Genomic DNA, 22,478 nt, shown 5'->3' with positions numbered 1-22,478 from the left:
TAAATACTGTACCTAATTCCTCATCCCTGAATGGATCTTCTACAATGCTTATTCATATTACCCCTTCCCTACTTTCACTGCTTTTGCCTTTAAAATAAAGACTGGACAGGAAACCAGTAATTTTCCTTAAGTAGAGGATTAATATGGTAGTGTCCAAAAGCAATCAATTCCTTGAGACGGAGTTTCACTCTTGTCACCCCGGCTGGAGTGCGATGGCACAATCTCGGCTCACTGCAACCTCCACCTCCTGGGTTCAAGCGATTCTCCTCTCTTAATCTCTCTAGTAGCTGGGATTACAGGTGCCCACCACCACGCTGGTCTAATTTTTGTGTTTTTAGTAGAGACGGTGTTTCACCATGTTGACCAGGCTGGTCTCGAACTCCTGACCTCATGTGATTTGCCCGCCTCAGCCTCCCAAAGTGCTGGGATTATAGGTGTGCACCACCATGCCCAGCCAACAGTCAATTCTTTTCACTGCTGTCAATATGCTATTGCTGCAGCACTGTGGCATCTTGCCAACCAGGGAAATTTGGAGCAAAAAGGAAAGGAATCTGGTGTTATATTTTGGATGTTTTTCTCTAGTCATGTTTTAAGGACTTTAGTCTCTTCGTTAGTTACAGAGAAGTAGAAAAATTGACACTGTGTTATTGGAATGAAGGCAAATATATTTTCATAAAGGTATAGTTTTCTAGAGCTAGGAACAGTGGCTCATGCCTGTAGTCCTAGCAACTTGGGAGGCCAAGGCAGGAAGATCACTTGAGGCCAGGAGTTCGAGACCAGCCTGGCAATATAGCAAGACTTGTTCTCTTAAAAAAAAAAACAAAAAAAAACCCTTCATTTTTAGCTAATTGAACACATATTCTTGATAGTTTGAACAAAATGGTTAAATATTTCAGAATTGATTATAATTAAGTCAGTGTGATGAAAAATAGAATAAGTAGCATACAATATTAAATCTCATTTGTTTCCTAAGCTGATACATGGGCATCATTTACATTTTAAAATTATTTTAGCAATAATTGTTGCCAGTCTAAAAAGGTGGTTAATTGTTTAATAGAAGAGTACAGACAAGGAGCAAACGTTCACCCACAAATAATTACATATTTATGTAAAGTTTCTGTGGTTATAAATTGGTAGTTCACATATCTGAAGATTTTGCATATATTTTGGTGTTCTTTTGTTATAGTCTAATGAATTTATGATGCTCCCTAGAACTTATGGTTTACTTTCTAGAGTTTAGGTTTAAAATTAGAGAATAATTAATTTATATAAATTCAGATCACATACTTAATCGTGTTGAAATCCATGCTCATTTGAAAACATAAGGGCCTTTTAAATTTTGGGTGTTAAATTTAACCACAAACCAAGTTTAAAAATAGCAGGATATCTTTCAACAGAATACTAAGTTATAGTACATTAAATTATTTTAATAAGCAACCAAATGCCAACTTGAGATAAAGTAATATATCTCACTTTGTCCTATAAATATTGATTATAAAATGGATTACATTTTCTTAAAATAGGAATGGAAGCACATTGGTTGAGAAATTTCAGTTGAAATGCATGGAACATAGGCTGGGCATGATGGTGCACACCTACAATTCCAGGAGTTGGGGAGGCTGAGGCAGGAGGATCACCTGAGGTCAGGAGTTCAAGACCAGCCTGGCCAACATGGTGAAACCCTGTTTCTACTAAAAGTACAAAAATGAGCTGGGCATGGTGGTGCACGCTTGTAATCCCAGCTGTTCAGGAGGCTGAGGCAGGAGGATTGATTGAAATAGGGTGGTGGAGGTTGCACTGAGCCAAGATTGTGCTACTGCACTCCAGCCTGGCGACAGAGCAAGACTCCATCTCAAAAAAAAGAAAAAAGAAATGCATGGAACAAAGCTAAGAATATGACTGTTTCTTTACAAAATTTACACGTTATATGTACAAATTGTTAGGCTTGAAATAATTAAAAATTTGTGTTGTTTCTTTTGTCAATAGCAATTTCATCACGAAAACCTGGTCAATCTGATTGAAGTTTTTAGACAGAAAAAGAAAATTCATTTGGTATTTGAATTTATTGACCACACAGTATTAGATGAGTTACAACATTATTGTCATGGACTAGAGAGTAAGCGACTTAGAAAATACCTCTTCCAGATCCTTCGAGCAATTGACTATCTTCACAGTAATAATGTAAGTGCTTCAGAATAAGCCAATTTGTAGGATGAATATGAATCATAAGTGCTCCTTATACATTGTTTTATTTTTATGAAGGTGGCTAACATTCTTTTTCTATACAATAATAATAGACATCCTGAAAATGGGGATAGGGAATAGGGGGCACTACCTTTTAGTTGCAGAACCAAAAAATATTGAGCACTCAGTAATTCCAACTATAAGGCAGACCAAGTATGGGATGGTAAAGGCAGTATCAGTAATTTTGTTTAGTAGAATCAGTAGTCAGCTGGAGCACTATTATTAGAGAAAGTATATTAAAACATTGAAAGTCAGGTCTGTGGCTTAATGGAGAGTTGCTCATATAAAGGGAGGTTTAGCAAGACTCCGCCTCACAAAAAAAAAGGCGGGGGGAATAGTAAGTAAATTGTGGATGCCTTTAGGGGAAGAAAGGAGATATAAAGTGGCGGAGCGGTTTGAGGCCTTGTCATTTAACCTATGAAAAATCAAGGAAGAGGAAAGATCACAGCTATTCTGATGTTTAGTGTTGACTTTAGCATTGGCTTGTAAGTGTTTAGCTCAGCAGGTTTTTTGTTTGGTTGGTTGGTTGGTTTTTGAGATGGAGTTTTGCTCTCGTTGCCCAGGCTGGAGTACAATGGCATGATCTTGGCTCACTGCAACCTCTGCCTCCTGGGTTCAAGCAATTCTCCTGCCTCTCCTTAAAACATCTCGGTGTTTGTCCGAGATGACGGTGCTCCTCCTCAATCAACCACCACACCTGGCCAATATTTTGTAGAGATGGGGTTTTCCCATGTTACCCAGGCTGGTCTCAAACTCCTGGGCTCAAGTGATTTGCCCGCCTCAGCCTCCCAAAATGCTGGATTACAGGTGTGAGCTACTGCACCTGGCACAGATTTTTTAAAAGATCAAATTAGGTACTAGGTATAAAGCATTTAAACTGTGTCAGGCACATTTTAAGTGCTCAGTAGATAGTGCTGGTAGGCTGGCTATAGTAGCTCACACCTCTAATCTCAGCATTTTGAGAGGCTGAGGCAGGAGGATCACTTGAGCTCAAAAGTTCAAGCCCAGCCTGGGCAACATAGCAAGACCTTGTCTCTACTAAAAATAAAAAATAAATTAGCTGGGCATCAGGCATCGTGCACAATCCTGTACTCCCGGCTACTTGTGAGGCCGAGGTAGGAGGATTGTTTGAGCCTGGGAGGTCAAGGCTGCAGTAAGCTATGATTGCACCACTGCATCCTGGTTGACAGAGCAAGATTCTGTAAGTAAGTAAATAAAATAAATAAATAAATAAATAAATATAGCAAGCTGGTTTGGAGTGAGGAATATTAATAGTTGTGTTAAGGAAAGAAAAGAAAAAAAAGGAAAAGAAAAGAAAGCTGGTAGGGAGTCAAGAATAGTGGTGTTATCTTTGTATCTGTTTAGAGCCTTGTCTATATTAGACTCTAAAAATGTTTCTTGAATAAAAGGAGATCTCAGTCTGGGCTAAACTGACAGTAGAAGACTTCCAAGATGAGGTAAAACTAAAGTAAGTAGAATTTTGAACTGTAGCTAGGATTTTGTTGGAGTAGAGGAGAAAATGCATTCAGGTGGGGTACCATTGTGAAAATAGAAGTAGACCGGAGCAGGGGACTTCAGAGAGTGCTGTTAAGTCAGGTTACAGGGAACAACAGATAGAGGAAGATAAGATTACACAGGTTCACAGGGGAGAGATTTTCCAGAACCTTGAAATTTACCCACAGGAGGGTGGACTCTTTCCTGAAGATCCTGGGAAACTACTGAAGATTTTGTTGTTTTTTTATTTTTGTTTTTCTTGAGACAGGATCTTGCTTTGTTGCCCAGATGGGAGTGCAGTAGCATGATCATAGCTCACTGCAGCCTCCAACTTCTGGGCTCAAGTGATCCTCCTGCCTCAGCCTCCCAAGTTGCTAGGACTACAGGCACATGCCACCACATCCAGCCCATTGAAGGTTCTTGAGCATTGCTGTGACTGGATGAAAACAAAATCTAATTTTATTTTAACATGAGTAGAAGATATGAGTAGATAGAGACCCAGAGAGATCAGACAGGTAGCTGTTGTGACAATCTAGATGTGTGGGTGGTAACGGTTTGGACTAAGTAGCAATGGGAAGGAGAGGAAGGATGGCAGAGGGATAGGATGGAAATATTTCAAAAGGAAAATCACAGGACTTGGGAAGTAATTAGATATGAGAGGGATGAAAACAAAGGGTGAAGTCAGAGGTTATTACAGTATTTTTTTTTGAGACAGAGTCTCTCTCTGTCACCCAGGCTGGAGTACAATGGCAGGATCTCGGCTCACTGCAACTTCCGCCTTCTGGGTTCAAGCGATTCTTCCTGCTTCACCCTCCTGAGTAGCTGGGATTACAGGCTCCTGCCACCAGGCCCGGCTAATTTTTGTATTTTTATTTTATTTTATTTTATTTTATTTTATTTTGAGACAGAGTCTTGCTCTGTAGCCCAGGCTGGAGTGCAATGGCGTGATCTCACTGCAGCCTCCTTCTCCTGGGTTCAAGTGATTCTCCTGCCTCAGCCTCCCAAGTAACTGGGTTTACAGGTGCGTGCCATCATGCCCGGCTAATTTTTGTATTTTTAGTAGAGACGGGGTTTCACCGTGTTGGTCAGGCTGATATCAAACTCCTGACCTCGTGATCCGCCCACCTTAGCCTCCCAAAGTGCTGGGATTACAGGCGTGAGCCACCGCGCCCGGCTTACATTTTCTTAAAACAATAATCAGTGTGTTTGGATAGACCCATACTAAATAATATTGGGGATACAAAATAAGTAGATATTTTGCCTTCAAAGACTATAGTTGAGAAAATAGGCTTAGACAGATGGTACAATAAGTATAAAAGTGTAGATGATGAAGTGCTAAGTTTCGTGGCACAAACGATATAGTAGTACAGCATAGGATGGGCAAGAAAGTCAATAGGATAATTTCTGACTAAATACCAGTAATACGATACTCCCAAGGATGGCCCGCTGTTGCCCTCATCCACGTGGAGCTAAATGCTTTTGATGTAAAACAAAACTAACCATTTGATTGTGAGATAAGAGTTTTTATTTTATTTTTATTTTATTTATTTATTTTTGAGATGGAGTTTCACTCTGTCACTCAGGCTGGAGTGCAGTGGCATGATCTTGGTTCACTGCAACCTCCACCTCCCAGGTTCAAGCAATTTTCCTGCCTCAGCCTCCTGAGTAGCTGGGATTATAGGTGCCCACCACCACACCCACCTAATTTTTGTATTTTTAGTAGAGTCGGGGTTTCACCACGTTAGCCAGGCTGACTAACTTTGGTCTTGAAATGCTGACCTCAACTGATCTACCTGCCTTGGGCTCCAAAGTGCTGGGATTACAGGCATGAGCCACCAATGAGAGTTTTTAAATAGTAACCAAATAAATTCACAGGTTAATAAGTGAATTTCCCAATGCCATACAGGAGGGGTCCCCAACCCCTGGGCCACAACCAATACCATTCTGTGGCCTGTTAGGAATCAGGCCACACAGTAGATGAGTGGTGGGCGAGCAGGCAAAGCTTCATCTGTATTTACAGCCACTTTGCATTGCTCGCATTACCACCTGAGCTCTGCCTCCTATCAGATCAGCAGAGGCATTAAATTCTTATAGGAGTGCGAACCCTACTCTGAACTGTGCATGCAAGGGATCTAGGTTGTGCACTCCTTGTGAGAACCTAATGCCTGATAATCTGTCACTGTCTCTCATAACCCCCAGTTAGGACCATCTGGTTGCAGGAAAACAAGCTCAGGGCTCCCACTGATTCTACATTATGGTAAGTTGTATAATGATTTCATTGTATAGTATAATGTAACAATAATAGAAGTAAAGTGCACTATAAATGTAATGCACTTGAAGCATCCTGAAACCATCCCCCAGCCTGGTCCATAGAAAAACTGTCTTCCATAAAACCAGTTCCTGGTGCCAAAAAGGTTGGAGACTGCTGTAATACAGTTAATGAGTGATGGAAGCGGGGACTAGATTCCTTCCACAGTCCATACGCTTTCCTTTCTACCATGCCATGTCTCCACAGCAGCTTAGTATGGAGCGGCTTAGCTTTAATTCTTAAGGCCTGTGCTTAGGAAATACCGCAGAATGAGAAAAGTGTTATTGTGTTTGGGAAGCAGTCAGATAACATATATTTATGGATATGTATACACGTGTGTATATGCATGCATAATTTGTTAAATGGAATTAGGGGATTAGAAGAGGAAAATGACAGAGAAAGATTATCAAAACTTTAATTGCTGTTTATAAAAGAAATTTATAATCAAAGTTCATCTTAAATCATCTCAGAATTGCGATATAACTTTTCAATAAATACCTTTCTTACCATACTTCCTCTTAACACAATACCTTTGCACATACTAGTCTATCTTCCTGGATTTATCTTTCTTCCACTCTTTCCTAGTTTACTTCTGCTCATCCCTCAGATCTTAGTAAAAGTGGAATTTTCCCCAGGGATGTCTCCATTCAAGTTATAATGCTATGTTCCTTTCCTTTGTAGCACTTGTGTTATTTTATATTTGTGTGATTATATGAAGTAAGGTGTTTCTCTTACAACTGACTGTGAGTTCTGTGATGGTAAAGAACTATATCTGTTTTTTTTTTTTTTTTTTTTTCCTGAGACAGAGTCTTGCTCCGTCGCTCAGGCTGGAGTGTATTGGCATGATCTTAGCTCACTGCAACCTCCGCCTCCCAGGTTCAAGCAATTTTCCTGCCTCAGCCTCCTGAGTAGCTGGGCTAACTTTTTTTTTTAATTTTTAGTAGTGCCAAGGTCTCACCATGTTGCCCAGGCTTGTCTCAAACTCCTGAGTTCAAGTGATCTTCCTGCCTCCGTTTTCCAAAGTGCTGGGATTATAGGCATGAGCTATCATGCCCAGCCTGAAGTGGTATCTATTTTTTTTTTTTTGAGACGGAGTCTCACTCTGTCACCAGGCTGGAGTGCAGTGGCACGATCTCAGCTCACTGCAACCTCCGCCTCCTGGGTTCAAGCGATTCTCCTGCCTCAGCCTCGTGAGTAGCTGGGACTATAGGCACATGCCACCATGTCCGGCTAATTTTTGTATTTTTAGTAGAGACGGGGTTTCACCATGTTGGCCAGGATGGTCTCGATCTCCTGACCTCATGATCCACCTGCCTCAGCCTTCCCAAGTGCTGGGATTACAGGCGTGAGCCACCGCGCCCGGCTCCTGAAGCGGTATCTTAATGTGCTTTTTAATGTCTGTTTTTGTTCACATTATATCCTTAGGTCTTGGAATAGTGCCTGGCATATAGTAGGCCCTCAATTAAAATTGTGGTAGTTAAAAAGGATTTATATATTTTGACAGATGGCAACTTTAAAGTGGCTCAATTAGAAAGGCTTACCCTAAATTAATTTTTTGGCTATTTATGGAGGGAGACTGAGTCAAAACAAGAGCCAGTCTCAAAGATTTATGGTAGTAAGTTGTATAAACAAGGAAAGATCCCAGATTTCTGTCACTGAGACATTTCTACTTGTGCTGTGATACTTTACAGGTGATGAGTATGTGCTTCTATAATTCACTTGATAAAATTTTTAAATGCCTTCTCTTTGTTCTAGGCACTATACTGAGCACGAGATATTAATTGAACAAGACAGTTGTGTATATTGCCCTCACGGAGCTTATGGTTTAGTGGGGGTTTCAGACAAGTAAACAGACAACAGTACTGCATGACAGATGCTATGAAGGGGGAAGTGCAGATTGATGTGAACATATAGAAGGAGCATCTAATACTAACATATAAGCTGAGTCCTGAGGAAATAGCTGGCTTGGCCAGGCAGTTGGAGCAGCATCAACAAATGCATAGAGATTAGACAAACCCTGGCAAATCGGGAAACTAATATTCTATAGGCTAGGGAAAGGAGGTTAATAGGGTAAGTAGGGGCCGAATCTCACAAGGCCTTATAAGCCATTTCAGGGAGTTTAAAATTTATCCTGCAGGATGAGGAATCCTTGAAGCAAAGAAGTGACATGATCAGGCTAGGCACGGTGGCTCACGCCTGTAATCCCAGCACTTTGGGAGGCCGAGGCGGGCGGATCACAAGGTCAAGAGATCGAGACCATCCTGGCCAACATGGTGAAACCCCATCTCTACTAAAAATACAAAAATTAGCTGGGCATGGTGGCGCATGCCCGTAGTCCTGTAGTCCTAGCTACTCAGGAGACTGAGGCAGGAGAATAGCTTGAACCCGGGAGCCAGAGGTTGCAGTGAGCCGAGATTGCGCCACTGCACTCCAGCCTGGTGACAAAGCGAGACTCTGTCTCAAAAAAAAAAAAAAAAAGTGACATGATCACACATCTGATTTTAAAATAGTACTGTGACTTCATTGTGGAGACTGAATTGGAGAGCACGAATGTGAATTCAGGGAGACAAGTTGATAGACTTGTGTATTAATTTTGTGAGACAGCTGGGGAGACCTGAACTAGGAAGAGCAGTAGTTAGGTTAAGGGAGTGTGGGGAGGGAGAAAAATGCCCTTGGTTTCTGGCTTGCGTTATGGAGTAAGTGGTGGTTCCATTCACTGGAATAGAAGATTGTTGAGAAGCAGTAGGTTTGGGGGAGAAGAAGACGCTTTTAGTTTTAGATTTGCTGAATTTAAAGGGCCTGTACTTAGTTTTGTGGGATTTATTGTGGACTTTCACTTCTTGTGGAAACCAGGAGAAATATCTGTTAGACGTAGAAATGTTGAAATTATCAGTAGTATATGGACAGTTACTAAAGCTATAAGAATAGATGAATCATCTACAAAAATCAACTAAAAATAAAGATTTAATTGTAAGATCTGAAACTGTTAAACTACTAGAAGAAAACGTGGGAAAAGTTCTATGACATTGGATCTGGGCAATTATTTTTTAGATATGAACCCAAAAGCACAGGCAACAGAAGCAAACATAGATAAATGGGATTACATTAAACAAAAAAACTTCTGCATATCCAAGGAAACAATAGAGAGAAGAGAGAACCCACAGAATTAGAGAAAATGCTTGCAAACCATACATCTAATAAGAGGTTAATATCTAGAATATATAAGGAACTCAAATAAATCAATAGTAAGAAAACAAATAACCTGATTAAAAATTGGGCAAAGGACCAGGTACAGTGGCTGATGCCTGTAATCCCAGCACTTTGGGAGGCCAAGGTGGGAGGATAGCTTGAGTCCAGGAGTTCAAGACCAGACCAGGCAACATGGCAAAACCATGTGTCTTTAAAAAAATAAATAAAAAATGGGCAAAGGTTGCTGGGTGCAGTGGCTCACACATGTAATCCCAGCATTTTGGGAGGCTGAGGCAGGTGAATCACTTGAGGTCAGGAGTTTGAGACCAGCCTGGACAACCTGGTGAAACCCCATCTCCACTAAAAATACAAAAATTAGCCGGGCGTGGTGGCATGTCCCTGTAATCCCAGCTACTCAGGAGGCTAAGGCAGGAGAATTTCTTGAACCCAGGAGTCAGAGGTTGCAGTGAGCTGCGATCGTGCCACTGCACTCTAGCCTGGGCGACAGAGCAAAACTCTGTCTCAAAAAAAAAAAAAAAAATCAACCTAAGTGTCCATTAAGGATGAATGCGTAAAGGAAATGTAGTATGTATACACAATGGAGCACTATTCAGCCATAAAAATAGAAGGAAATCATTTGTGATGATGTGGATAAACCTGGAGGACGTTATGGTAAGTGAAATAAGTCATACAGAGGACAAATACCGCATGATCTTACTTACATACAGAATCTATAAAAGTGCAACTCATAGAAGTAGAGAGTAGAATGGTAGTTACCAGGGGCTAGAGTGGGGGTGGTTGGGGAGATGTTGGTCAAGGGATACAAAAATTCAGTTAGAAAGAAGGAATAAGTTCAAGAGATCTATTATACAAAATGGTAACTAGTTAATAACAATGATTGTATTCTTGAAAATTGCTGAGAGTAGAATTTAAGTGTTCTCACCACAAAATAAGTATGTGATGTAATGTTAATTAGCTTGATTTAACTAATTTTACAATGTATACATATTTTAAAACAACATGTACATGATATATACAATTTTAATTTATCAATTAAAATTAACAATGTTAAAAAATAATTCAGGCCGGGTGTGGTGGCTCACACCTATAATCCTAGCACTTTGGAAGGCTGAGGTGGGAAGATCACTTGAGCCCAGCACTCATGATCAGCCTGAGCAACATAACCAGACCCTGTCTCTACAAAAAAAATTTTTTAATTAGCCAGTAGTCCTAATACTGTAGGCTGTAGGACTACAGACACGCGCTTATAGTCCTAGCTACTCAGGAGGTTGAGGTGGTAGGATTGTCTCAGGTGGTAGGCTCCTTGCTTGAGCCCAGGAGTTTGAGGCTGCAGTGAGCTTTGATTGTGCCTTTGCACTCTGGTCTGGGCAATGGAGCAAGACCCTATCTCTTTAAAAAATAATTTCTTAAAAAGAGTTGATCAGATTGAGATGGAGCAGCCAGTAAGTGGGGAGAAGCCCAAGAGTGTTGTCCCTATAACCAAGTGACAAAAGTGGCTCCCCCACCCCACAAAAAAGAGAGTACGTGAGATTGACCAGGAAACTTGATACATATGAAGAGAGGAAAGCCTAAGACAAGGACCCTATGTTTTAGGAACAGACAGAGAAAGAGGAGCTGCCAGGTAGGTAGGAGGAGATTTGGAACATTTTAGGTCTCAGAAACCAGGAATGTAGGAATAGTTGGCATTTTTTTATGCTATGAAATCAAGTACGATATGGGTGGAGAGGTGGCTACTGGATGTAGGAAAAATGTAGATGGCTTTGGCTAGAGAAGTTTAATGCAATGTAGGAACAAAAGAGAAGGTTACATTATCTTGAGTGACTGGGTCAGAAAGTGAAGACTGAGTACAGATAATGTCTCAAGAGGTTTAGCTGTGAAGGACATGAAAGGGCAGGAACTGGAGTGAGACATAGGGTTAAAGGAAAGTAAAATTTCAATAAGTTATTTTTCTTTCTTTCTTTTTTCTTTCTTTTTTTCTTTTTTTTTTTTTCTTTTTTTTCTTTTTTTAGAGACAGGGTCTCACTCTGTTACCCAGGCTGGTCTCAAACTCCTGGCCTCAAGTGATCCTCCTGCCTTGGCCTCCCAAAGTACTAGGTTTACATGCATGAACCACCACTCCCAGCCTCATTAAGTTCTTTTGGTTTTTCTTACAGGAATGTTATTTGCCTTTTTAGTATTATGTCTGTTTTCTTAGCTTCATTTTATTTTGAGGTGATGGATGGGGCAAGAATTGAAAACATATAACTATATTTGCATTGTGTAATTAATCCTTTGCATGTGGTAAGGAAATAGCTTTACTATCTTAATTAGCTAGATTTTCTCAGTATAATTTTTGAGAGATTCTGGATAATGAAATCTCATTTTAATGTATTTTGTATTCTGTTTGTTTTTTAGATCATTCATCGAGATATAAAACCTGAGAATATTTTAGTATCCCAGTCAGGAATTACTAAGCTCTGTGATTTTGGTTTTGCACGAACACTAGCAGCTCCTGGGGACATTTATACGGACTATGTGGCCACACGCTGGTATAGAGCTCCCGAATTAGTATTAAAAGATACTTCTTATGGAAAGTATGTGTATTTTGGGATCCTGTCAGCCTTTCCTAGGTATCTCTTTTTTTGTTTATTTTTTGAGATGGCGTGTTGCTCTGTCACCCAGGCTGGAATGCAGTGGTGCAATCTTGGCTCACTGCAACCTCCACCTCCCAGGTTCAAGCAATTCTCCTGTTTCAGCCTCCCAAGTAGTTGGGACTACAGGTGCACACCACCACTCCTGGCTAATTTTTGTATTTTTAGTAGAGACGGGGTTTCACAATATTGGTCAGGCTGGTTTCGAACTCCTGACCTCAGGTGATCTACCTGCCTCGGCCTCCCAAAGTGCTAGGATTACAGGCGTGAGTCAGTGTGCCTAGCCTCCTAGGTATCTCTTTTATCCCTTGGTATGTGCTTGTATATCTGTCACCCCTAATACTGACACATTCTGCCGTCTGCATCTAGGTTGGGGCTAAGAAGAGGGACACCTTTAAAGGTAACATAACAGATCCTTTAGGTACCTGCATTGCTGGCTACTGCTACTGCTACGCTCACTCAGCTCTCACAGGCTGAATGGACACAGCTCCAGAAGACCTATGCAGACATCCCTCAGTGTGTATCTATATTTGCTTTAAGCTGTGCCATGCCCTCGGCAGAGTTCCCTCTTCTGTTTATCTTTAGCCTCTACATTCTGCAAAGATTTGAAATCATTTACCTTACTCTGCTAGTGTTGCAGTAGGAACTGCCGAGTTTCCCATTTCCTGGAAAAATGGTACCCTCTTTGTGAAGACTGGCAAATAATTTTAAATTGTACTGTTTTAGGTGCAAAATTTAGCCAGGCGTGGTGGCATGCGCCTGTAGTCCCAGCTACTCGGGAGGCTGAAACAGGAGAATTACTTCAAAAGTAGCATGATCTCGGTCTAACATAAAACAGCAGCCTAAAATATAAATAATCAATCTTGAGCATAAAGAGATAAAAGTATGTAATTTAATACCTGATTTAATAGAATACATGGAGGAGGATAATTCTTGTGCCTTTCCTAGAAATTATTATTGTGTTATTATAATAATATGTAATATTAATGGGTACTTACTTTCTGCCAGAAACTGTTCTAAATGCTTTAGATACATCAAATAATTTAATCCTTACAACAACCCTATGATGAAGTTGCTACTATTAGCATTCTCATTTTAAACAGTAGAACACTAAGACACAGAGGTCAAGTAATTTGCCTGAAGTCACATAGCTGCTTAATAGCAGAACTGAACCAGGATTCTAACCCAGGTGGTCAGGATTCACAATCCATTCCCCTGGGTACCTTTTCAACTGTACCTACCGTTGATACCCTGTACAGACTGTCTCTGTACCTCAATTACTTCATCTATAAAATGGAAATAATAATAGGACTCACTTCATAGGTTTGTGATGAGGATTAAATGATTTGATATATGCTCAATAAATATCTACTCTTACTCAAAGTCCTCAAAAATTTTTTCTTTATTTCTTTTTTGCCTCTGGACATAATGTAGCCTGCATAAGATCTCTCTGTCTCAGTTTTACCCTCATTTGATGATGTAGCTTAAATTCCTTTTCTGATATACTCCCTAGCCCCCCAATCCTAGTTGACATCTTTTAGTACATTATCTGTAAATTTTGTGTCAGTTAATATTTAACATGGGCTAGTTCTTTCTCTAGCTCTTTTTTTTTTAACCTCCCACTAAAAGTTAAGTTCCTCAAGGATAGGCATAATCTCTTGTATTCTGCATAACCAAACTTGGTGCCTGGCCCACAGTAAGGTTGGATTCTAGGAGACTTCACATTGTGTTTGAAACAAATTTGCTAGTGAGTCCATTTTGAAAACTTTTATTGTAAAAGAAAACACAGACACAGAATATCTCACATAACAAATGGATAGCTCCACCACCTGATCAAAAAATAGGATTTTGCCCACCACCCCAGAAAACCCTTTGTGTGCCCTACTGCAGTTGTAACATGCTCCCTTCCCTACAAAGCAACCACGATACTGATTTTTATTGTAATCATTTCCTTGCATTTTTTAAAATAATAGAGACAGGTCTCACTATGTTGCCCAGGCTGTCTCGAACTCCTGCCCTCAAGCAGTCCTTTTGCCTCAGCCTCCCAAAGTGCTGGGATTCCAGGTGTGAGCCACCAGGCCTGGCCATTTCCTTGCATTTTAAAGAAGTTTTGTCACCCAAATGTGCCTCCATTTAGTTTAATCTAGCCTTTTTTGAGATATGATTCATATATCTTACAAGTCACCTATTTAAAATGTACAATTAAGTGGTTTACAGTGTATTCACAGAGTTGTACAACCATAACCATAGTCAATTTTAGAACATATTTATCACCCCAAAACGAAACCCTGTACCCACTGTAACTCTCCGTTTCCTCCCAACCCTTCCAGGCCTAGATAAACTCCTATCTGCTTTCATTCGCTATGGATTTGCCTATTCTGGACATTTCATATAAGTAGAATTATATAATATATGGTCCTTTGGGACTAGCTTTTTTCACTTAACATAGCATGTATTAGTACTTCATTTCTTTTTTTTTTTTTTTTTTTTTTTTAGCAGAGATGGGGTTTTGCCATTTGGTCTTGAACTCCCTACCTCAAGTGATCTGCTCGCCTCGGCCTCTCAAAATGCTGGGATTACAGGCATGAGCCACCGTGCCCAGCCAGCACTTTATTCCTTTTTATGGCTGAATAATATTCCACTGAATGGATAGAGCTCTTTTTATTTACCCATTCATCAACTGATGGACATCTGGGTTATTTTTACTTTTTAGCTATTATGGGTAATGCTGCTATGGGTGTCCGTGTAACTTGTTTTTGTATGGACATATGTTTTCATTTCTTTTGGGTATATACTTAGGAGTTAGAATTGTGGGTCATACAGTAACTCTATGTTTAGTCTTTGAAGAACTGCCAGACTGTATTCCAAAGTGTTTGTACCATTTTACATTCCCACTAGCTGAGTGTGAGAGTTTCAGTGTCTCCATGTCTTTGCTAGCACTTACCATTATGTTCTTTTGTTTAATAGCCATCCTAGCCTTTTTTTTTTTTAAAGTAAACTTTATTTTGGGATAATTTTAGATTTACAGAAAAGTTACAAAGATAGTATAGAGAGTTTCCCCATAGTCCTCACCCAGTTTCTGTTTACCCTAATATTATCATATTTCATTACTATGGAGGTTTAACTTTATCATCTCTTTTTAATTTATTACTTGAATACTTTTATAAATGGACATTTCCCCTTATTTGGTTACCTAATGGTATAGTTCACATAGAGAAACTGGGTAAATGCTTGATTTGTTTATCAATTTTAAAGATGAATTGGCTCCAACAGGTGACCTCCAAAAGCAACTAATTAATTTTTTTAGAAATATCATTATGAACTCATGGACTTAAACATATTTAATGGGTTTCAATGCATTGCAATTATCGGGGCAAAAAGATAATACCTTTTCCCGGCTGGGCACGGTGGCTCATGCCTGTAATCCCAGCACTTTGGGAGGCCGAGGTGGGCGGATCACCTGAGGTCAGCAGTTCAAGACCAGCCTGACCAACATGGAGAAACCCCGTCTCTACTAAAAATACAAAAATAGCCAGGCGTGGTGGTGCATGCCTGTAATCCCAGCTACTCGAGAGACTGAGGCAGGAAAAACGCTTGAACCCGGGAGGCAGAGGTTGCGGTGAGCCGAGATCGCACCGCAGCACCTCAGCCTGGGCAACAAGAGCGAAACTCCGTCTCAAAAACAAAAAAAGGTAATACCTTTTCCCTACCTGTAACAAGAGTCACAGCCAATACCCTTATAACAAAAGATAGGTTAGCAAGAGAAAAGCGTGACAAATTTAACAAAGTTCAATGTGACATGGAAGCCTTCATAAATGAAAACCCAAAGACCCAGGGAGAACACTGTCTGATTTTATGCTGTTTGCTGAAAGGAGTGGATAGGTGTAGAGAAACATGATTGGGCAAAAGGAGTATGATCTAATGGTAATAAACCCAGCAAGGCCTGTTTGTTCAGATTCTTCCTGGCCTCTCTGTTTTGCATTCCTTCCTTCCAGGTATGGGCAGGACCTCTCTGGAATGAAGGTCTTATGACTTACTTTCAAGGGAGGTGGATCAGAGAGTGACCATTCTATGTTTTATGGCTTGCTTTGGGGAAGAGGAATTCTAATCGCTCTGGAGGTGGGCAGGCGGAAGAGGAATCCTGGTTTCTGTGATACACCTTGGGGGAGAAAGGAGAGCAGGAGAAGGTCAGAGAGATTTTGTTTCTGAGACCCTTCTAATCTCCTTCAGTTCAAAGTATGTATCATGCCAAAGCACCATACTTTCAGGTATCATAGTCTAAGCCTGGACACAATTGTTATTATTACTGAAGTTCAAAATCAGTGGGTGCTGTCAGGCCTCTGAGCCCAACCTAAGCCATCATATCCCCTGTGACCTGCACGGATACATCCAGATGGCCTGAAGTAATTGAAGAATCACAAAAGAAGTGAAAATGGCCTGTTCCTGCCTTAACTGATGACATTACCTTGTGAAATTCCTTCTCCTGGCTCATCCAGGCTCAAAAGCTCCCCCACTGAGCATCTTGTGTCCCCTGCCCCTGCCTGCCAAAGAACAACCCCCTTTGACTGTAATTTTCCACTACCTACCCAAATCACATAAAACAGCCCCACCCCATCTCCCTTTGCTGACTCTCTTTTCGGACTCAGCCCGCCTGCACCTAGGTGAAATAAACAGCCTTGTTGCTCACACAAAGCATGTTTGGTGGTCTCTTCACACGGACACGAGTGAAAGGTGCCTTTTCAAGGTGGCTTCCCAAGTCCTTTTAACAGGACCTAGTATGTAGTCTCTGATACTTTCCTTGTGACCTGACTGACAAGATAGCAGTCCAGGCTCATTTTTCACATGTTGTTGCCCCAGACCTGGTATCAGCCATATTATGTCTTTATTAAAAACAGCATTATTGAGATATTTTTATATAATACAGTTCATCCATCTGAAGTAAATTTCAGTGGTTTTTAGTGTATTCACAGATATGTACTACCATCACCAGTCAGTTTTCATCACCTCAGTAAAAACCCCATACCCTTTATCTATGACACCCCTATACCTCTGAACTCCCTCCCTAACCCTAAGCAATCACTACTCTCTTCTCTATCTTTATAGATTTTTATTTATTTTATTTTTTTTGAGACAGAGTCTCTCTCTGTCGCCCAGGCTGGAGTGCAGTGGCGTGATCTCGGCTCACTGCAACATCCGCCTCCTGGGTTCAAGCAATTCTCCTGCCTCAGCCTCCTGAGTAGCTGGGACTACAGGCGCATGGCACCACACCCGGCTAATTTTTTTTTGTATTTTTGTAGAGCTGGGGATTCACCATGTTGGTCAGGCTGGTCTCGAACTCCTGACCTCGTGATCGACCTGCCTCGGCCTCCCAAAGTGCTGAGATTACAGATGTGAGCCACTGCACCCAGCCTATGGCTGGCTTTTTTATTTTGTAGAGACAGGGTCTCGCTATTTTGACTAGGCTGATTTTGAATTCCTGGGCTTAAGTGATCCTCCCGCCTCAGCCTACCAATGTGTTAGGATGATAGGTGTGAGCCACCACGCTGAAGCCTGACTTTTTTATTCTAGCTACTCTAATGGGTGTGAAGTGGTATCTCATTGTGGGTTTGATTCACATTTCCCTAATGTCTACTGAGGTTGAATGTCTTTTTGTGTGTGCGTGTGCTTATTGGCCATTTGTATATTGTCCTTGGAGAAATGTCTGTTCAGATCCTTTGCCTATTTTTAAAATGAGTTGTCTTTTTATTATTGAGTTGTAAGAATTTTCTGCATATCCTAGATACAAATTCCTTATCAGATATGTGATTTACAAGTATGTTCTTCCATTTTATGGGTTGTGTCTTCACTTTCTTGATTCTGTCTTTTGATTTTCAAATGTTTTTAATTTTAAGAAGTCCAATTTATCTGTTTCTTTTGTTGCCTATGCTTTTGGTATCATATTTCAAAATTGTTTGCCAAATCCAGGGTTATGAAGATTTACAGTTACATTTTCTTCTAAGAGTTATAACTTTAGCTCTTACATTCAAGTCTGATCCATTTGAGTTAATTTTTGTATATGCTATAAGGTAAGAGTCCAAGTTCATTCTTTTGCATTTGGCTATCCAGTTGTTGTCCCAGCACCATTTGATGAAAATATTGTTCTTTCCCCATTATGGTGTTGGGCTCTTTTTGAAATTCAGTTGACTATAGATGTAAGTGTAACTGCTCAAGGGGTTCACCTTGCCCGCTGCCTAGACAGAGCCGATTCATCAAGACGGGAATTGCAATAGAGATAGAATAACTCACGCAGAGCCGGCGTGAGTGTGCAGGAGACTGGAGTTTTATTATTACTCAAATCAGTCTCCTTGGGCATTCAGGGAGCAGAGTTTTTAAGGACAACTTGGTGGGTAGAGGGAGGCCAGTGAGCTGGGAGTTCTGATTGATCAGGTTTGAAATCATAGGGAGTGGAAGCTGTCTTCTTGCACTGAATCACTTCCTGGGTCTGGGGCGGCCATGAGATCAGATAAGCCAGTTTAGCAATATGGGTGGTGCCAGCTGATCCATCAAGTACAGGGTTTGCAAAATATCTCAAGCACTGATCTTAGGAGCAGTTTATGGAGGGTCAGAATCTTGTAGCCTTCAGCTACATGACTCCTAAACCATAATTTCTAATCTTGTGGCTAATGTTAGTCCTACAAAGGCAATCTGGTCCCCAGGCAAGAAGGAAGTCTGCTTTGGGAAAGGGTTGTTACTGTCTTTGTGTTAAACTATAAACTATAAACGAAGTTTCTCCTGAAGTTAGTCCAGCCTACGCCCAGGAATGAACGAGGACAGCTTGGAGGTTAGAAGCAAGATGGAGTCAATTAAGTTAGATCTCCTTCACTGTCTCAGTCATAATTTTGCAAAGGTGGTTTCATAAGGGCTTATTTCTAGAATCTCAATTCTGTTCCATTGATCTGTAAGGCTGTCCTTTTTCCAGCAACGCACTTTCTTTCCTTTTTTTTTTTTTTGACAAGATCTCACTCTGTTGCCCAGGCTGGAGTGCAGTGGCATGATCTTGGCCCACAGCAACCTCCACCTTCCAGGCTCAAACAATCCTCCCACCTCAGCCTCCTGAGTAGTTGGGACTACAGGGGTGCACCACCAAGCCTGGCTAATTTTTAAATTTTTTGTAGAGACGGGATTTCACCACGTTGGCCCGGCTGGTCTTGAATGGCTGGGCTCAAGCAATCTGCCTGCCTTGGACTCCCAAAGCATTGGGATTACGGGCAGGAGCCACCGCACGCAGCCGACACACTGTCTTAATGACTATTGCTTTGTAGCAAGTTTGAAATCAGAAAGTGTGAGTCTTTCTACTTTATTTACTTTTCCAAGATTGTTTTGGCTATTCTAGGTCCCTTCCAATTCCATATGAATTTTAAGATCAGCTTCTCAATTTTTGCAAAACAGACATCTGAGATTCTGATATGGATTACATTGTATCTGTGGATTAGTTTGGAGGTTATTGCTGTCTTAAAAATGTTAACTCTTATTCTAATCTGTGAATTTAGAATGTTTTGCCATTTATTTAGATCTTCCATAAATTTTTCTTTTTCTTTTTCTTTTTTTTTTTTGAGACAGAGTCTTGCTCTGTCGCCCAGGCTGGAGTGCAGTGGCACAATCTCGGCTCACTGCAAGCTCCGCCTCCCAGGTTCACGCCATTCTCCTGCCTCAGCCTCCCGAGTAGCTGGGACTACAAGCGTCCGCCACTACGTCTGGCTAATTTTTTGTATTTTTTTAGTAGAGATGGGGTTTCACCGTGTTAGCCAGGATGGTCTCGATCTTCTGACCTCATGATCCACCTGCCTCGGCCTCCCAAAGTGCTGGGATTACAGGCGTGAGCCACCGCACCCGGCTTCCATAATTTTTTCAACAATGTTTTGTAGTTTTCAAAGCATACATTTTGCACTTGTTTTGTAAAATTTATTCTTAAGTATCTTATTCTTTTTGATGCTATCATGAATGGAGTTTTCTTAATTTGATTTCAAATTGTTCATTGCACGGGCATAAAAATACAACTTATTTTTGTATATTGAGTTCATATTGAAGTGGTGTCATTGTCTGGAGTAAATACCCAGGGTTCGTCATCTCGTGCCAAGGAGATGAAGGACATGGACATGCATGAGGAGTGAGTTTAGGAGCAGAGGTTTAATAGGCAAAAGAAAGAGAAAGGAGAACAGCTTTCTCCCTAGTGAGAAAGAGGGGCCTCCTAAAGCAAAATCTGGCCCGCAGCAGACTGCATTAGATTTTATAGGCAGGTTTGAGGAGATGGTGTCTGATTTATGTAGGGCCCACAGATTGGTTCGACCAGGTGTGACAGTTACATACTGCAAGGGGAAGGCTGGTTGCCCCACTCTAATCTTATTATGCAAATTGGATCTTTGCCTGGCTGGGGCCATATTGTCTTCTTACTCTACATGTGGTTTGGCAAAGAGAAGGGAAGATGGAGCCACCATTTTGAACATGCTTAGTCCCAGGTAGCCTTTTCCTGTTGGCACAACTGCTGGCATTCACCTGTGCAAGCTTACAGCTTGCGTGTCTGTGTCTGCAGCACAATTTTACAGGCTGCTTTTTGTTAGAAAAGAAAATGATTTGGGGCTGCTTTTCATTAAAAGGAAAACCTTACTGAGGATCCCGTACCCTCACTGCCTGCCTAAATAATTTCTTCTTAACTCATATCATTATCATGCAACTTTGCTGAACTTGTTTATTGGTTCTCATAGTAGTTTAGTGGATTCTTTAGGATTTTCTACATAGAAGATCATGTCATCTGTGAATAGATATAGTTTTACCTTTTTGCTGGTCTGGATGCCTTTTATTTCTTTTTCCTGTCTAATTGTGCTGAGTAGAATCTGCAGTACAATGTTGAACAGAAGTGGCAAGAGCAGACATCCTTGTCTTGTTCCTAATCTTATCGGGAAATCATTCAGTCTAAGTATGATATTAGATGATTTTTCATAGATGCCTTTTATCAGGTTGGGGAAGTTTCCTTTTATTCTTAGTTTGTTGAGTGCTTTTATCATGAAGGGGTGTTGGATTTTATCAAATGTTTTTTCTTTGTCTATTGAAATGATCAAAATGAGAAATTTTTTTGGTTTTTATTCTATTGATGTATTATATTACATTTATTGGTTTTTGGATATTGAACCAACCTTGTGTTCCTAGAATAAATCCCAGTTGGTCACAGTGCATAATTCCTTTTATATGATGCTGGATTCAGTTTGCTAGTATTTTGTTGAGAATTTTGTGTTCACATTCATAAAAGATATTTGTAGTTTTCTTTTTTACTGGTTTGGGTATCAGGGAAATACTGGTTTTAAAAAATGAGATGGGATGTGTTCCTTCTGTTTTTTGAAAGAGTTTGTGAAGACTTGGTATTAATTCTTCTTTAAATGATAGAATTCAGTAGTGACATCATCTAGGCCTGGGCTTTTCTTTGCGGGTAGTTTTTTAAAAAAATCATGAATTCAGTCTTTTCACTTGTTAAAAGTTTATTGAGATTGTCTATTTTTTATTGAGCCAGTTTCAGTAGTTTGTGTTTTTCTGGGAAGCTATTCATTTAATCTAAGTTATCTAATCTGTTGGCAAACAATTATGTATTCCTTTATAATCTTTTTAATTTCTGTAAAGTCAGTAGTAATGTCACCTCTTTCATTTCTGATTCTAATACTTTGAGTTTTCTCTCTTTTGCTCTTGGTCATTCTAACTAAATGTTTTTCAATTTTGTTGATTTACAAAAAAATAGCTTTTGGTTTCATTGATTTTCTCTGTTTTCTTATTCTCTATTTAATGAACTTTTGCTTTTTAAATATTTCCTTCTTTTTGTTTGCTTGGTTTAGTTTGCCCTTCTTTTTCCAGTGTCTTAAGGTGGAAGGTTAGGTTACTGATTTGATATCTTTCTTCATATAGGCATTACAGCTATACATTTCCCTCTCTGCTTTACTGCATCCCACAAATGCTGGTATGTTGTGTCTTCATTTTCATTAGTCTCAAAGGATTTTCTTTTTCTTTTTCTTTTTTGAGACAGGATCTTGCTCTGTTGCTCAGGCTGGAATGCAGTGGTGTGATCTCGGATCACTGCAGCCTTGACTTCCCCAGCTTAAGTGATCCTCCCACCTCAGCCTCCCGAGTAGCTGAGACTACAGGTGTGTGCCCTCATGCTTGGCTAATTTTGTTCATTTTTTTGCAGAGACGAGGTCTCACTGTGTTACCCAGGCTGGTCTCAAACTCCTGTACTCAAGTGACCCTCCTACCTCTCTGCTTCCCATAGTTTTGAGATTAAAGGAATGAGCTACTGTGCCCAGCCTCAAAGTATTTTCTGATTACCCTTTTGATTTCACCTTGTACCCATTGGTTATTTCGTCAAATGTAGTTTAATATCCACATATTTGTAAATTTCCAAAATTTTTCCTGCAATTAATATTTAATTTTATTCCATTGTAATAAGAGAATATACTTCGTGTAATTTCTGCCCTTTTAAATTTACTGAGGTTTATTTATGGTCCAGCACATGGGCTATCCTGGAGAATGTTCCATGTGACTTGAGAACAATATATAAATGTATATTCTATTGT

At 40.3% G+C, this 22,478-nt stretch overlaps 1 protein-coding gene across 28 annotated transcripts in view, besides 2 other annotated features; it reads left to right on the top strand.

Moving 5' to 3' along the window:
• CDKL3 (cyclin dependent kinase like 3) overlaps positions 1-22,478 on the top strand; it is an 88,280-nt gene that overhangs the window by 9,547 nt on the left and 56,255 nt on the right. For 14 of the 28 annotated variants that reach the window (XM_024446091.2, XM_024446099.2, XM_024446104.2 and 11 more), the window contains 2 exons: positions 1,987-2,181; positions 11,651-11,865. The exons of 6 other annotated variants lie outside the window; for them this stretch is intronic. In XM_024446091.2, the coding sequence (XP_024301859.1) occupies positions 1,987-2,181; positions 11,651-11,865 (410 nt within the window). Of the gene's footprint in view, positions 1-1,986; positions 2,182-11,650; positions 11,866-15,518; positions 16,074-22,478 lie in introns of those variants that run through there. 8 more of the 28 variants (NM_001300853.2, XM_024446089.2, NM_001113575.2 and 5 more) reach the window with 3 other exon arrangements.
• Positions 15,625-16,324: an enhancer, noted in NCBI's record as "NANOG-H3K27ac-H3K4me1 hESC enhancer chr5:133681445-133682144 (GRCh37/hg19 assembly coordinates)". NCBI's record gives its function as "activates a minimal SCP1, AML or CMV promoter by ChIP-STARR-seq in naive and primed H9 embryonic stem cells {active_cell/tissue: H9 hESC(naive and primed)}" and the evidence as "EXISTENCE:reporter gene assay evidence [ECO:0000049][PMID:30033119]".
• Positions 16,325-17,023: an enhancer, noted in NCBI's record as "NANOG-H3K27ac-H3K4me1 hESC enhancer chr5:133680746-133681444 (GRCh37/hg19 assembly coordinates)". NCBI's record gives its function as "activates a minimal SCP1, AML or CMV promoter by ChIP-STARR-seq in naive and primed H9 embryonic stem cells {active_cell/tissue: H9 hESC(naive and primed)}" and the evidence as "EXISTENCE:reporter gene assay evidence [ECO:0000049][PMID:30033119]".

The sequence above is a fragment of the Homo sapiens genome, chromosome 5 (genome assembly GCF_000001405.40).
Source record: "Homo sapiens chromosome 5, GRCh38.p14 Primary Assembly".
NCBI lineage: Eukaryota > Metazoa > Chordata > Mammalia > Primates > Hominidae > Homo > Homo sapiens.
The sequence above is the reverse complement of the archived record's forward strand: the minus strand, read 5'-3'. Positions and strand labels throughout refer to the sequence as shown.